This window comes from Homo sapiens, chromosome 13 (assembly GCF_000001405.40).
Source record: "Homo sapiens chromosome 13, GRCh38.p14 Primary Assembly".
Classification (NCBI taxonomy): Eukaryota; Metazoa; Chordata; class Mammalia; order Primates; family Hominidae; genus Homo; species Homo sapiens.
In genome coordinates this window covers 22,695,509-22,708,198 of record NC_000013.11, presented here as the reverse complement: position 1 = coordinate 22,708,198, position 12,690 = coordinate 22,695,509, and the positions used below count along the sequence as shown (strand labels likewise).

At 41.8% G+C, this 12,690-nt stretch overlaps 2 pseudogenes; both read left to right on the top strand.

Moving 5' to 3' along the window:
- DDX39AP1 (DEAD-box helicase 39A pseudogene 1) lies at positions 1,987-2,962 on the top strand (annotated as a pseudogene).
- FTH1P7 (ferritin heavy chain 1 pseudogene 7) lies at positions 11,416-12,337 on the top strand (annotated as a pseudogene).

Genomic DNA, 12,690 nt, shown 5'->3' with positions numbered 1-12,690 from the left:
GTGAATATGCATGTGCACGTGCAGGTGTATATGTCATCCTCTGACATGGAGACTTAGCATAAGGCAGGGCTGGGGTGCAGTGGGCCAGGAAATAAGCTTGCAGTTCTTCTCAGTGTCCTTGAGCTTGAGGTAGTACTGCTGCAGGTGCGTGCAGCGTGCGCTTGGTCTCGGCATCCACAAACACCTCCATGGGATCCTGCATAGACTTCCTGCATACAGGCCAGATCTCTTTGCTGGAAGTGGAGAGGCTAAGGTGGTGGCTACAGTGATGTTTTGTGAATAAAGAATGACGCAAAATGTGAAATGTTGTAATTAGTAGTCTTCATCTTTAGAGGATTTACTTCTAGCTACAGCTCTCCAAAACTGGAAGGAGGGAAGAGAGAGAGATACTAAGATTTCTTCTTCCCTTGGCATACTTGGGTAAAATGACACATTCCAGATACACCAAGGGCCACCTGTGTTGATAGAATAGCATCTACTCAAAGCCCATCGATTGTAGGATTGAAGCTGCTAGTAACGCAAGTTACTTGTGAAATGGGATAATATTTTAGGCTATCTGTGTAGGCTTTGGGGTCTAAATTTTCTTCCTTTATTCCATACTTGGTGGTTTTACAGTCTACCATTTGCCTGAGTCAATTTCAAGATGTAGCAAGACACAGTCCCTTCCTTTACAGAATGAATGTACTATCCAGTGTAAAATATTGGTGATGTAACTTGATAAATGCTATGGTGGACAAGCACAGACTTCTGTAGAATCACAATCTAACTCAGAATTTGGGAAATGATGAGGTAAGGAAAACCACTCAGAGAAGATCATGTCTGACTCAATCCCCATGTGGGATTCCTACTCTTCTTCCTGACTTTGAAATGTCAGAGCACTGTGGCACCCAATCTTTGGTTCTCTTCCCTTTTCTATCCTTATAACCTAAGGCTGAATGAAGACCTATCATTTTAAATTGCATTCATGCACCACACTCACATCTCAGCTCTGCCATCGCCCTTGGTGTGGAGCCTCAGAGTTTCACCTGCCCACGTCCTCTGTAGGTGTCTGCAGGTAACCCAAATTAAGCCTGTGCCAAGCTGACCTTTGGTTTTGTTTGTTTTTTACTCACATTCTTTTTCCTCTTCTTGTATTCCCAAGTTCACACCATTTACAATGCTGCTCAGGCCAAAATGCCTAGAAAACACTCCTAACTCTTTGCCCTGCTTATGTTTTAAACAGATTACTTCTCACTGTGTCCGTCAGCACCACCCCAATTCAGACACCCAGTCCCCAGAGTGAAGTACCTTAATAGTCTTTTAAAGGTCTGCCTGTGTGATGTTGTTGCCACAGGGTTCTATCTTTGTCCTCTAAACCCTGCAGAGCTAGTAGCCAGATTCCATCTGCACCCTCTACTCATTGGTATGGCAATGACCTTGGGAATTGCATCCCCTCAATTCACAGCCAAAGTAGGAGGGCTTGCAGGATGGTTCCTGTTGACAGGGGCTGCTTTATGAGAAGTCTCGCCAGCTCCATCCCTGCCTAACTTCTCAGTCTGTTTTTTTTTTTTTTAATGAGCTGGTAATTCTTTTTTTTTTCTTTCTTTCTTTCTTTTTTTTTTTGAGGCAGAGTCTTGCTCTGTAGCCCAGGCTGGAGTGCAGTGGTGCGATGTCGGCTCACTGCAAGCTCCGCCTCCTGGGTTCACGCCATTCTCCTGCCTCAGCCTCCTGAGTAGCTGGGACTACGGGCACCTGCCACCAGGCCTGGCTAATTTTTTGTATTTTTAGTAGAGACGGGGTTTCACCACGTTAGCCAGGATGGTCTCCATCTCCTGACCTCGTGATCCACCCGCCTCAGCCTCCCAAAGTGCTGGGATTACAGGCGTGAGTCACAGTGCCTGGCCATTAGCTGCTAATTCTTATAATAGATATAAACAATTAGCAACTGCATGCCCTCGTGGCATGTGGAGGAGAATGAGGAACCAGGGCCCTGCCTCTCTCTGCTCTCAGCAACATGGCAGAACAGGATGTGGAAAATAAGCTTTTGGATTATGAAGAAGAGCCCTAGGCGTCTCCAGGGAGCACTCTGGTTCCCCGTAAGAAAGATGTCAAGGGATCCTACGTTTCCGTCCACAGCTCTGGTTTCTGGGACTTTCTGCTGCAACTGGAGCTCCTGAGGTCCAGCATGAGTGCATTCTTCAGGCCACCCTGGGTATGGACATCCAGTGCCAAGCCAAATCTGGGAAGGGCAAGACAGCGGTCTTTGTGCCGGCCACTGTGCAGCAGATCCGGCCTGTCAACTGACAGGTGACGGTCCTGATCTGTGCCACACAGGGGAGCTGGCCTTCCAGATCAGCAAGGAGTGAGAATGAGCACTTCTCCAAGTAGATGCCCAGTGTCAAGGTGTCCGTGTTTTTCGGAGGCCTCTTTATCAAAAAGAATGAAGAATTGTTGATGAACTGTCCTTGTGTCATGGTGGGGACCCCGGGTTGGATCGTGGCACTTGTGCAGAACAGGAGCCTCAACCTGAAGAATGTGAAGCACTTTGTGCTGGATGAGATGCTGCAGTGGCTGGACATGTGGCGGGACATGTGGGAGGCCTCCCACCTGATATTCCAGCAGAAGCAGTGAATCATGTTCAGTGCCACCCTGAGCAAGGAGATCTGGCCTGTGTGCAGGGAGTCCATGCAGGGTCCCATGGATGTGTTTGTGGATGACGAGACCAAGCGCACGCTGCACACACCGCAGCAGGACTACCTCAAGCTCAAGGACACTGAGAAGAACTGCAAGCTTTTCGATCTCCTGGACATGCTGGAATTTAAACAGGTGGCAATCTTCATCAAGCCGGTACAGCCCTGCATGTCCCCGGCCCAGCTCCTCATGGAGCAGAACTTCCTGGCCATGGCCCAGGAAGAATGCCTGTCACGCTATTAGCAGTCCAAGGATTTCCAGCAGTGGATCCTGGTGGACATCAATCTGTTTGCAGTCAGTTGCAACATCCACAGGGATATGGAGGCTTGGGAAGATATTTGGCATAAACCACTGGCTGCAGACATTTTTCTTTATTTATAAAATCTTCAATGGCCTCTGTGCAAATCTGTCGACAACTTCTCTTCTACTCTTTTGTCATCATCCACACCATAATCCCATCCACTTCACTGGAGGAATTTACTGAGGCAGCCCCAAGCCTGTATCTCAGCAGGTTTGCTCAGAGTCCCCGTGTTCACTTTCAGTCATTTCCTAACCATTGTAGGAATTGAGTGATTCAACATCGTCTTAACTATGGCATGCCTGAAGACTCGGACACCTACCTCCACCCAGTGGCCTGTGCAGGTTGCTTTGGCACTAAAGACCTGGCCATCACTTTTGTGTCTGAGGAGAATGATGCCAAAGCCCTCAATGACATCTAAGACCAGTTTGACGTTAATGTGACAGAGCTTCTGGAGGAAAGCAACATCTCCACATATGGTGAGCAGCGTCCCGACCATGGGCCTCGACGGCCTGGAGTGGTCCTGCTGCCCGTGTGTGGCTTCCTGTGTGCCAGGTGGGTCTCTCTTTTGACTGTCCAAAAGCTGCAGATTTGTGTAAGAATATTATTATGGAAAAAAAACCCCAGATAGTTTATAGATATCGCCCCCTTCCCTTTAGGATGTGAGGTTATAAGGGAGGTGAGGAAAGTTTGTTTTGATTGTGCTAAGAAAGAAGCCAATCTTTTGGTTTACTCGAATTTACAAGAATATTATATCATTTTTCCTTTTGAAATGGGTCTTTTTAATACAATGCAGGCACTTAATCCATGTCTACAAAAATGTCAAACATCTGGATGAGAACAAAAATTTAGTCAAAAATAGATATTTCCAAATAACTGGATGTTTGATCTAAAATAAATCAAATAGCCTCATTTTTTTGCTGTATTTTTCACACTGAAATTGGATGCTTTCTACTTACTTGTTGGATCTGACTGTCAAAGCCTTTTTAAAAAAATGAGTAACCGAAAATTAAGACGAAGCTCTCAGAAATGCAACGGGAATGGCTCTAGGTGACACGAGGAAAGCTTCAAGAAACATCTTTCCAGTTTTGGGAAGCTCTCTGCCAGTCCTCCAGGCTGAGAAAACTGAGTCAGCCATGGAGGTTTGAGAGGTTTACTCACCAGTTTCCTAAGCCTCCAACAGGTGCAGGATTACTCTCCCAGTTCTCACTGGAACACACAAAATATCTCCTTTAATCGCGAGGAGAAATCACCTACAAAGGGGCCTCAGTGGACGCCTGGAGGCTTCAGGGAACAAAAGGGTTTTGTTGTCGTAGGGATAGCGTTATCCTTTGTTATGTGTATTAATTAATATGGAGGGAAAGGCAGGACTACATTTGTTAAAACGGTTTGTGGTAAATAAGTCAGCCGTTGTGCTGAGTGATTTACAGTGGGCAGAAAGCACAGTGGCCTATGACTAACATCCAGATCATGGTGTGATTAGATCATAAAATTTTATTGTATGGTTATTTATTTATGTTTCTATAAATTAAACAGGCATTTGACCTGAGTGGTATACAGATTTGTAAAAGAAAAAAGAAAAAGTACTTATTTTGCAGTGTTTGATCAAGGGCACAAATTTGATGACCATCTCCATGAAATTTGAAGCAGCACAAATTGATTTCTTGCTTGCTCAACTGCCTATCTTATTTTTTGTTTGATTTTAGGAAATGGATCAAAGCACACACAATAGCTAATTGCTAATACACTTCTTAAATAAATATGCTAAATGTTCTTGTTTGTTTAATGCACTGGTGGGGCAGCAAAGATGATAAAACTTTTTCTAATCTTGCTTCTTTATTGTTTGACATCTACCAGTACATTGTGAGAAACATCATAGTGGTAGGTAAAATGGTTTTGTACAAAAGTAAGTTTTTTTCCTTATTGTAGATCAGCATCTCTAAGAAGTATGATTATTTATACATACTATATACCAGAATTAACTGCCTGAATATTTTATCTTTGGGATTTTGTTGGTATCCCGGGAGCCCTAGCCCTTATTTTCTCTGGATGAGTTAGCTCCAGGAGGCCAGGAGATGCTATTCCCAGCACCAGGGCTTGGTGTGGGGGGATGGCTGTCTGGGAGTTCAGTATAGGGCCCCAAATCATTCCTGTCAGTCACTTGACAGCAAGAGGGAGACAACTTCACTCCTGGTTGCCTTGAAGGTATCCTAGTCTGCCCTAAAGGCAAAACCTATTCTGACACCAGACAGGTTGACCTAGGGCAGCCATCCTCACCTCTGAAGTGCTGCCAAAAACCATGGTGCACTCAGGAGAGCTTCACACTGCACCTCCACCTCTTCTTAATAAACATCATCATTTCATAGTTACGAGGTGCCATCTATTTACCCAGAAAGATGAATCTGATGACCATTCAGACCTTGCAACTCTGGCTGCTTTGAGGAAGAGTGCCCTCAGTTTCCCTGAGCTCAAGGTGTTCTATTGTGACTGAAAAGTTAGCACTGAAGGAGAAGGATGCCAGTGTAAATGTTCCCTCATGCCCCTCCACTGCCTCCCTTCTGAGTCTGCAGTCTGCAATGTCCATTATACCACTCTGTATGTATTATACCACTCTGTAGGTATTATACCACTCTGTATGTATTATACCACTCTGTTTGCCTTTGCCTACCCATAGCTTAGCTCTCACTTATGAGAACATATTTGGTTTTTCTCTTACTCAGTTACTTCACTTAGAATAATGGCCTACAGCTCCATCTAAGTTGCTGCAAAAGACATTATTTTATTCTTTTTTATGGCTGTGTAGTATTCCATAGTGTATATATATTATATTTTCTTTATTCAAAAATCAATTGATGTACACTTATGTTGGTTCCATGGCTTTGCAATTGTGTACTGTGCTGTAATGAACATACGCATGCAGGTGTTCTTTTGATATAATGATTTCTTCTTCTTTGGGTAGATACTCACTAGTAAGATTGCTAGATTGAATAGTAGATCTACTTTTAGTTCTTGGAGAAGAAAAACAATTTAGCTATAATGATTCAAAATAATAGCCAAAGGAAAATCATGGTCCAGGAAAACGGAATGACCCTCAGTTTCCTTTTGTCCTCTGGCCTCCCAAAGGTGTTGCTTCTTGGGAAAATACAATCGCCCCAGAGAATCAAACGTTTAAACTTCCAGGAAGTCAAATAGTAATTTGTTAAATAAAGGACTTTCCTGCTGTAAGTAAATATGGTACGAAAAAGCTAACCACCTTTCTTTGGAAGGGACTTTTGGAATTGACTCTGCTTTTATTAATTTGGGCTTGGGCTTGGGTTGAGGCAGCCAAAAGTAGTTGTTATTCTCAATGCTGTTTCTACATGAAGCTCTAGTGGAAAAAAATTATGCATGAATTAATTAAAACAACTGCAAAGGCATTTAAGGCAGGTGGTTTAAAACACAGACCAAGGCCGGGCGCGGTGGCTCACGCCTGTAATCCCAGCACTTTGGGAGGCCGAGGCGGGTGGATCATGAGGTCAGGAGATCGAGACCATCCTGGCTAACAAGGTGAAACCCTGCCTCTACTAAAAATACAAAAAATTAGGCGGGCGCGGTGGCGGGCACTTGTAGTCCCAGCTACTCGGGAGGCTGAGGCAGGAGAATGGCGTGAACCCGGGAAGCGGAGCTTGCAGTGAGCCGAGATTGCGCCACTGCAGTCCGCAGTCCGGCCTGGGCGACAGAACAAGACTCCGTCTCAAAAAAAAAAAAAAAAAAAAAAAAAAAAAAAAAAAAAAAAAAAAAAAAAAAACACAGACCAAGTGGCTTTGCAGCAAACAGATTATTCCTGTATGCACGTGCAAAATGTTTGGTCACTCCATTGCTAGAAGTACAACAGCGTAGATGAAAAACATCAGTGTATGTGGGGAATCTGAAGACCACCTTCTTTGTTGGCTGTGGCTGAAGGCAGAAATAACTGTAATCACTTTTTACTGCCTAAAGATTTTATGTAAGCAAACTCAAGCCATAAGCTTGAAAGTGGGATTGTTTTCTCAGCCTTTTCTCCAACTGCCCTGGACCACTTCTTATTATGCTTTTTTGCCAAGTTTTCATAGGTTTGGGTAGTTTGGTCTTTGCAGTTCACCAGTTGGCATTAGGGAAATACCCTTTACTTTTTAGTGTGGTCTCTGTTGATTACGATTTTGGTGGCAAGGTAGAGAATGAGCATGTATTAACAAATAATAAAAGCACATCTCTCAAGTTCATTTGCACTCTGAAGATGAGATTGTGAAAGGTTAAGCTGTCAAGTAAATGGGAATGCACTGAGATGGCTGGACCTTGTCCAACGGTACCTGTAGCAGCTGTCAACCTAATTAAGCCAGATGTGTGTTCAATGTAAACGGACCTCCCAAGAGGAATAATAACAGATTTCAGGCTCTGGAAAGAGACAAAAGATGGGGGAGGGGATGCATATAAGAAGGTAAGGCTAAGATCTATAGAATGTTTCTGATGTCAATGTCACTGCTACCTGGAAGACTGTTAGCTCATTAGTGTCACCTTGATTGAACTTGATTGAAACAGTTCTATGGGTGGGTGAGAAAAGTGGTTTAAGTGAAGTCTGGATACATTTTCATAGTCAATAAACTGATATTTGCTAAACTCTTTCATCTTCAACACATACACACATGCACGCACACACACACACACACACACACAAAACCTTAGCCTGACTTTAAATCCTTAGTAATTTAAAAAATGACATTTAAGCCATGCCAACTTTGACAGCTCTTCAAGGGAGTATGTGAGCCATGAGCCAAGAAAAGGACACCAACAGGCTTTCAGATGCGCTCAGATTACACGCGATTCACAAATCAGGATGCAAGTTAGTTATACTTTCTGCAACCCTACTGACTACTTAAAACAAACATTCTGTAAACCGTAAAATGTGAGGTACAATAGTGAGTGTTATGTTAAAAAAACACTATAACTTCCAGACAATTTTTTCCATTCATGCTATAAAATGTCATATCTCCAAAACAGAAGTGTTTGAGAGACAGACCTTTAAGCTTAGCCAGGAAAATGCTTCTCAGAAAACTTTCCTTCATGTCGCTGAATTTAGTAACTACCTTGATGAAACCAGTTCTAAGTTGCTATGTCTCTAAGAAAATTATAAGAAACAGGCAACCCCTTCTGAGAACTTGGTAGCTGCTTAATACTTTGTTTACAGAGAAACTTCATTGATTTTGATTGATTGACATTAAATACTATTTATTAAACAAACATGGATTTACTCTGTGCCAGACACAGTTTTGAGTACTTTAAGAAATTAACTTATTTCATGCTTATAGCAACCCTACAAAGTAGGTAACATTAATAATCCCATTTTACAAAACAACAGAGCGAAAAAAGATTAAGTGGCTTACTGAGGTCACACAGTCACATTCCTAATATACAGAAATGTTGATGATCTAGTAGGATCCTCTCTTGTAGGAGGGACCAGAGTAAAGAATGTGATACAGATCTTTCCAGAATAGCATAGATTCAACTGCAAATGGCAAACTTCTATCTCAGTAGATGGAGGGGATGTTTTTCTCAAGCAAGCTTATTTGGGAACAATCAGACAAGTGAGATTAGACCCCAGTGTGACATGCAATGCTTATGTGGCCCACAAGAGAATTGAAAGTCAAGGCTGACTCTTAAATCTTGCTCAAATAAAGTGAGCATTATTTAATGTATCCACCTCAACTTTGACACTTAACTGTTCTTATTTGACAGAGTTAGTGATGGAGGAAATTCACTGAATCGTTCATTCATTCTAGGTGCCAGGCACTGTGTTGACTTCTAGAACCACACATGGTACAAACCTTAAGGAACACAGAACCTATATGGTGGATTGAACAGTGTCCTTCCCAAATTCACATCTACCTGGAACCTCAGAATGTGACCTTACTTGGAAATAAGGTCTTTGCAGATATAATTAATTCAGATGAGGTCATACTGGATTAGATGGGCCTCAAATTCAATGATTTGTGTTCTTTTAAGAGGAGACATTCACAGAGACAAAGACACACAGGGAAGAAGGCCGTGAAGGCAGAAATTGGAGAGATAGATTTGCAAACCAAGGAACGCCTTGGAACAGAAGCATTATAACCCAAAAGGCATGGAACAGATTCTCTGTCAGAGTCTCCAGATGGAAAATGACCCTGCCAACACCCTGGCTTCAGACTTTTGGCCTCCAGAACTGTGAAAGAGTAAGTTCCTGTTGCTTTAAGCCACGCTGTTTGTGGTACTTAGCTATGGCAGCCCCAAGAAACGACAGGTTTGGGTACCAGGAAATGAGGTGCTGCTGTAACAAATGCTTAAAAATATGGAAGTGGTTTTGAGACTGATTAATGGGCAGAGGCTGGAAGAATTTTGGGGACCATGATAGAGAAAACCCAGATTGCCTCAAAGAAATGATTTGTGGCAATGTGGAGTGAAAAGAAATTCTGGTGAGAATTCAGATGGCTGTGAGGAACACGGTAGAGAAAGCTTACAGCATCTGAGATAAAACATGACAGCTTGGCAGAAATATGAATGTTAAACATGCCCCTGGTGAGGTCTCAGAAGGAAATGATGAACATATTATTAGGCACAGAAGGAAAAGCCAGCCTTGTGACAGGAAATTTAGCTTGATTTAAGATCTTGAACCATGGGTCCTATCTCCTTTATTATTGCTAGTTATAGAAATGATCGTACAGCAGAAATTTTTGAGCTAAATACTATGATATAATAAAATTATACATATTATCACTTTCAAATTTCAATCCTTCCCCCAAATCGTAAGAGACAAATCAGTTCAACGATTGATGTTCCACATAAATGAATTTTAAGATGCTAAATGAGAAAGAAAAGCAGAGATCTGACTTTATACAACGTTGTTTAATCTCAGTTTTAGAATTGGAAGAAATCTTAGGAATCACCTAGATTATTCCTGGTAGGATGTTTTTATCCCCTTGATACCATCTCTGTGAAATCATCAAATATTTTTAATTGTTTATACATTTTTTACTTCCTATATTAATTTATCTGTGACAGTACAATTCCAGTTATTAAAATGTTTTTCACTCATATGTTGACCAGTTGGGATTCTTTCCCCCATAATGACCCAGGATGTCTCTTAAGCCTGTGTGTTATAGACTTCTAAATATTAGAGAATGTGTTACTTGACAAATCTTGTCTTCATTTCAGTCCTGTGAATTATTCTTCCCAAACAGTGTTTAAGAGCCTTTCACTATCTAGTGACACTGTGTGCAATGTTATAATTGATGTTTCCTTTAATGTATGATGTTTAAAGCAGAGTACCAAAATTGAAGTAAGTCCTGATCACAACAGAACATAGCAGGATCTGCACATGTCTTGTTCTGGCACTCTACTTCTATTAATTCATATTAAAACTACATTTTACTAAAGCAGCCACTTCACATAGTTGCATCACATTATAGTTTAAAGCAATTGATTTCACTCAGTGATATTTACACACATTCTCAAGATGACAAAAAAATTGTCACAATGAAAAGTTTTGGATATTATATAAATACACATGTCAGGTAAAATATAATATGGAAAAGATTTTTTCTGTAATATATTGTATATGTTAATCACTGATGAAATAGAACTATTTTTATACCCAAAAGTATTTTTGGCACATGGACTAAAGGGCAAAAAGTTTTCTCTATAAATCTGTGAAAAAATAAAGTTTTAAATATAGATTAATTGAGGAGTAGGAGATTTGTATTTTCAATTAAAAATTATATATTTCATATTGATAAATACAGCGTAAAATGTTTTGGGGATGTGCAAAGATTACACATCTGACTTTTATAGATGGCCAAATATTAGCTACATTAAAAAAAAAAAGCTGAATTTTTTAGATTTTATAGCAATACTGGTGACTGGTGATGAGGTATTCATAGGAAGCTATTGCATTTGAGATATGCTCCATGCCCTACTAAAAGCTAATGCCTACCTCAAATACCTGAACACCTGTAACAGATAAGGGTTTTCAATTTTTGGTTGTCAATTGCCACTTACTCTTGCCTAGTGAAAACAGTGTAGAAGCTTTGGTTCTATGGAATTAAAAAAATAATAATGCATCAACAACAGTAATAATTGCAGCAATTATACAACATTTTTATTTATCAGCTATTCTTTGAAACTTCTGCTTCCATTCATTATGGAGTAGCTTACAGAAAACCAATAAGCCAACTTGAAAACAAAGAGAAAAATTTGACTAAACCATTTGTTTGAATACAGCGGAGAGCTGCCAAAGCAACTAGAAATTGAAAGATGAGGGGTTTGCAGAAAAAAAAAAAAAACTCAGAAACTTACAAGGTCATTCTAAGAGTCACCCTCCTTTGGGCATTTTTTAATTGGTCCACAAATTAGAAGCCAAGGTTTTAAGTGGAGAAATACAAATAAGAAGCAGAGAGAGACGTTCTTCGCGGAGAGTCGTCGGGGTTTCCTGCTTCAACAGTGCTTGGACGGAACCCGGCGCTCGTCCCGCACCCGGGCCGGCCGTCCATAGCCAGCCCTCCGTCACCTCTTCACCGCACCCTCGGACTGCCCCAGGGCCCCCGCCGCCGCTCCAGCGCCGCGCAGCCACCGCCGCCGCCACCGCCGCCTCTGCTTAGTCGCCGCCATGACGACCGCGTCCGCCTCGCAGGTGCGCCAGAACTCCCACCAGGACTCAGAGGCCGCCATAAACCGCCAGATCAACCTGGAGCTCTACGCCTCCTACGTTTACCTGTCCATGTCTTACTACTTTGACCGCGATGATGTGGCTTTGAAGAACTTTGCCAAATACTTTCTTCACCAATCTCATGAGGAGAGGGAACATGCTGAGAAACTGATGGAGCTGCAGAACCAACTAGGTGGCTGAATCTTCCTTCAGGATATCAAGAAACCAGACTGTGATGACTGGGAGAGCAGGCTGAATGCGACGGAGTGTGCATTACATTTGGAAAAAAATGTGAATCAGTCACTACTGGAACTGCACAAACTGGCCACTGACAAAAATGACCCCCATTTGTGTGACTTCATTGAGACACATTACCTGAATGAGCAGGTGAAAGCCATCAAAGAATTGGGTGATCAAGTGACCAACTTGCGCAAGATGGGAGCACCCGAATCTGGCTTGGCAGAATATCTTTTTGACAAGCACATCCTGGGAGACAGTGATAATGAAAGCTAAGCCTCAGGCTAATTTCCCCATAGCCGTGGGGTGACTTCCCTGGTCACCAAGGCAGTGCATGCATGTTGGGGTTTCCTTTACCTTTTCTATAAGTTGTACCAAAACATCCACTTAAATTCTTTGATTTGTACCATTCCTTCAAATAAAGAAATTTGGTACCCCCACCCAAAAAAAAAGCAGAGAAATCAGCACACTATTTGTTAATCTCACAGGACTAAAGAGGAATAAGCTAAAGTTTGTGACTTCAAAACAGCTGAGATGTGAAATCAAGTTATTGTTGAGAAAAGAGAGATAAAGAATTAGGACATTTTTTTTTCTCCCTTAGAGGCGTTTGCTGAATTCTAAAGAAGGATAAGAAGCACATCAGAAAGCCACTGAAAAACATAATGGAATTTTCCGGAAATATTTAGAGACAGTAATCATACTCAAGAACGGTGACGGAAGAAACCTCAGGATTTCAGGTTGACCAACTGGAGGGCAGTGTCCTAGGAATGAGTGTAAGCTACAAGGAGAC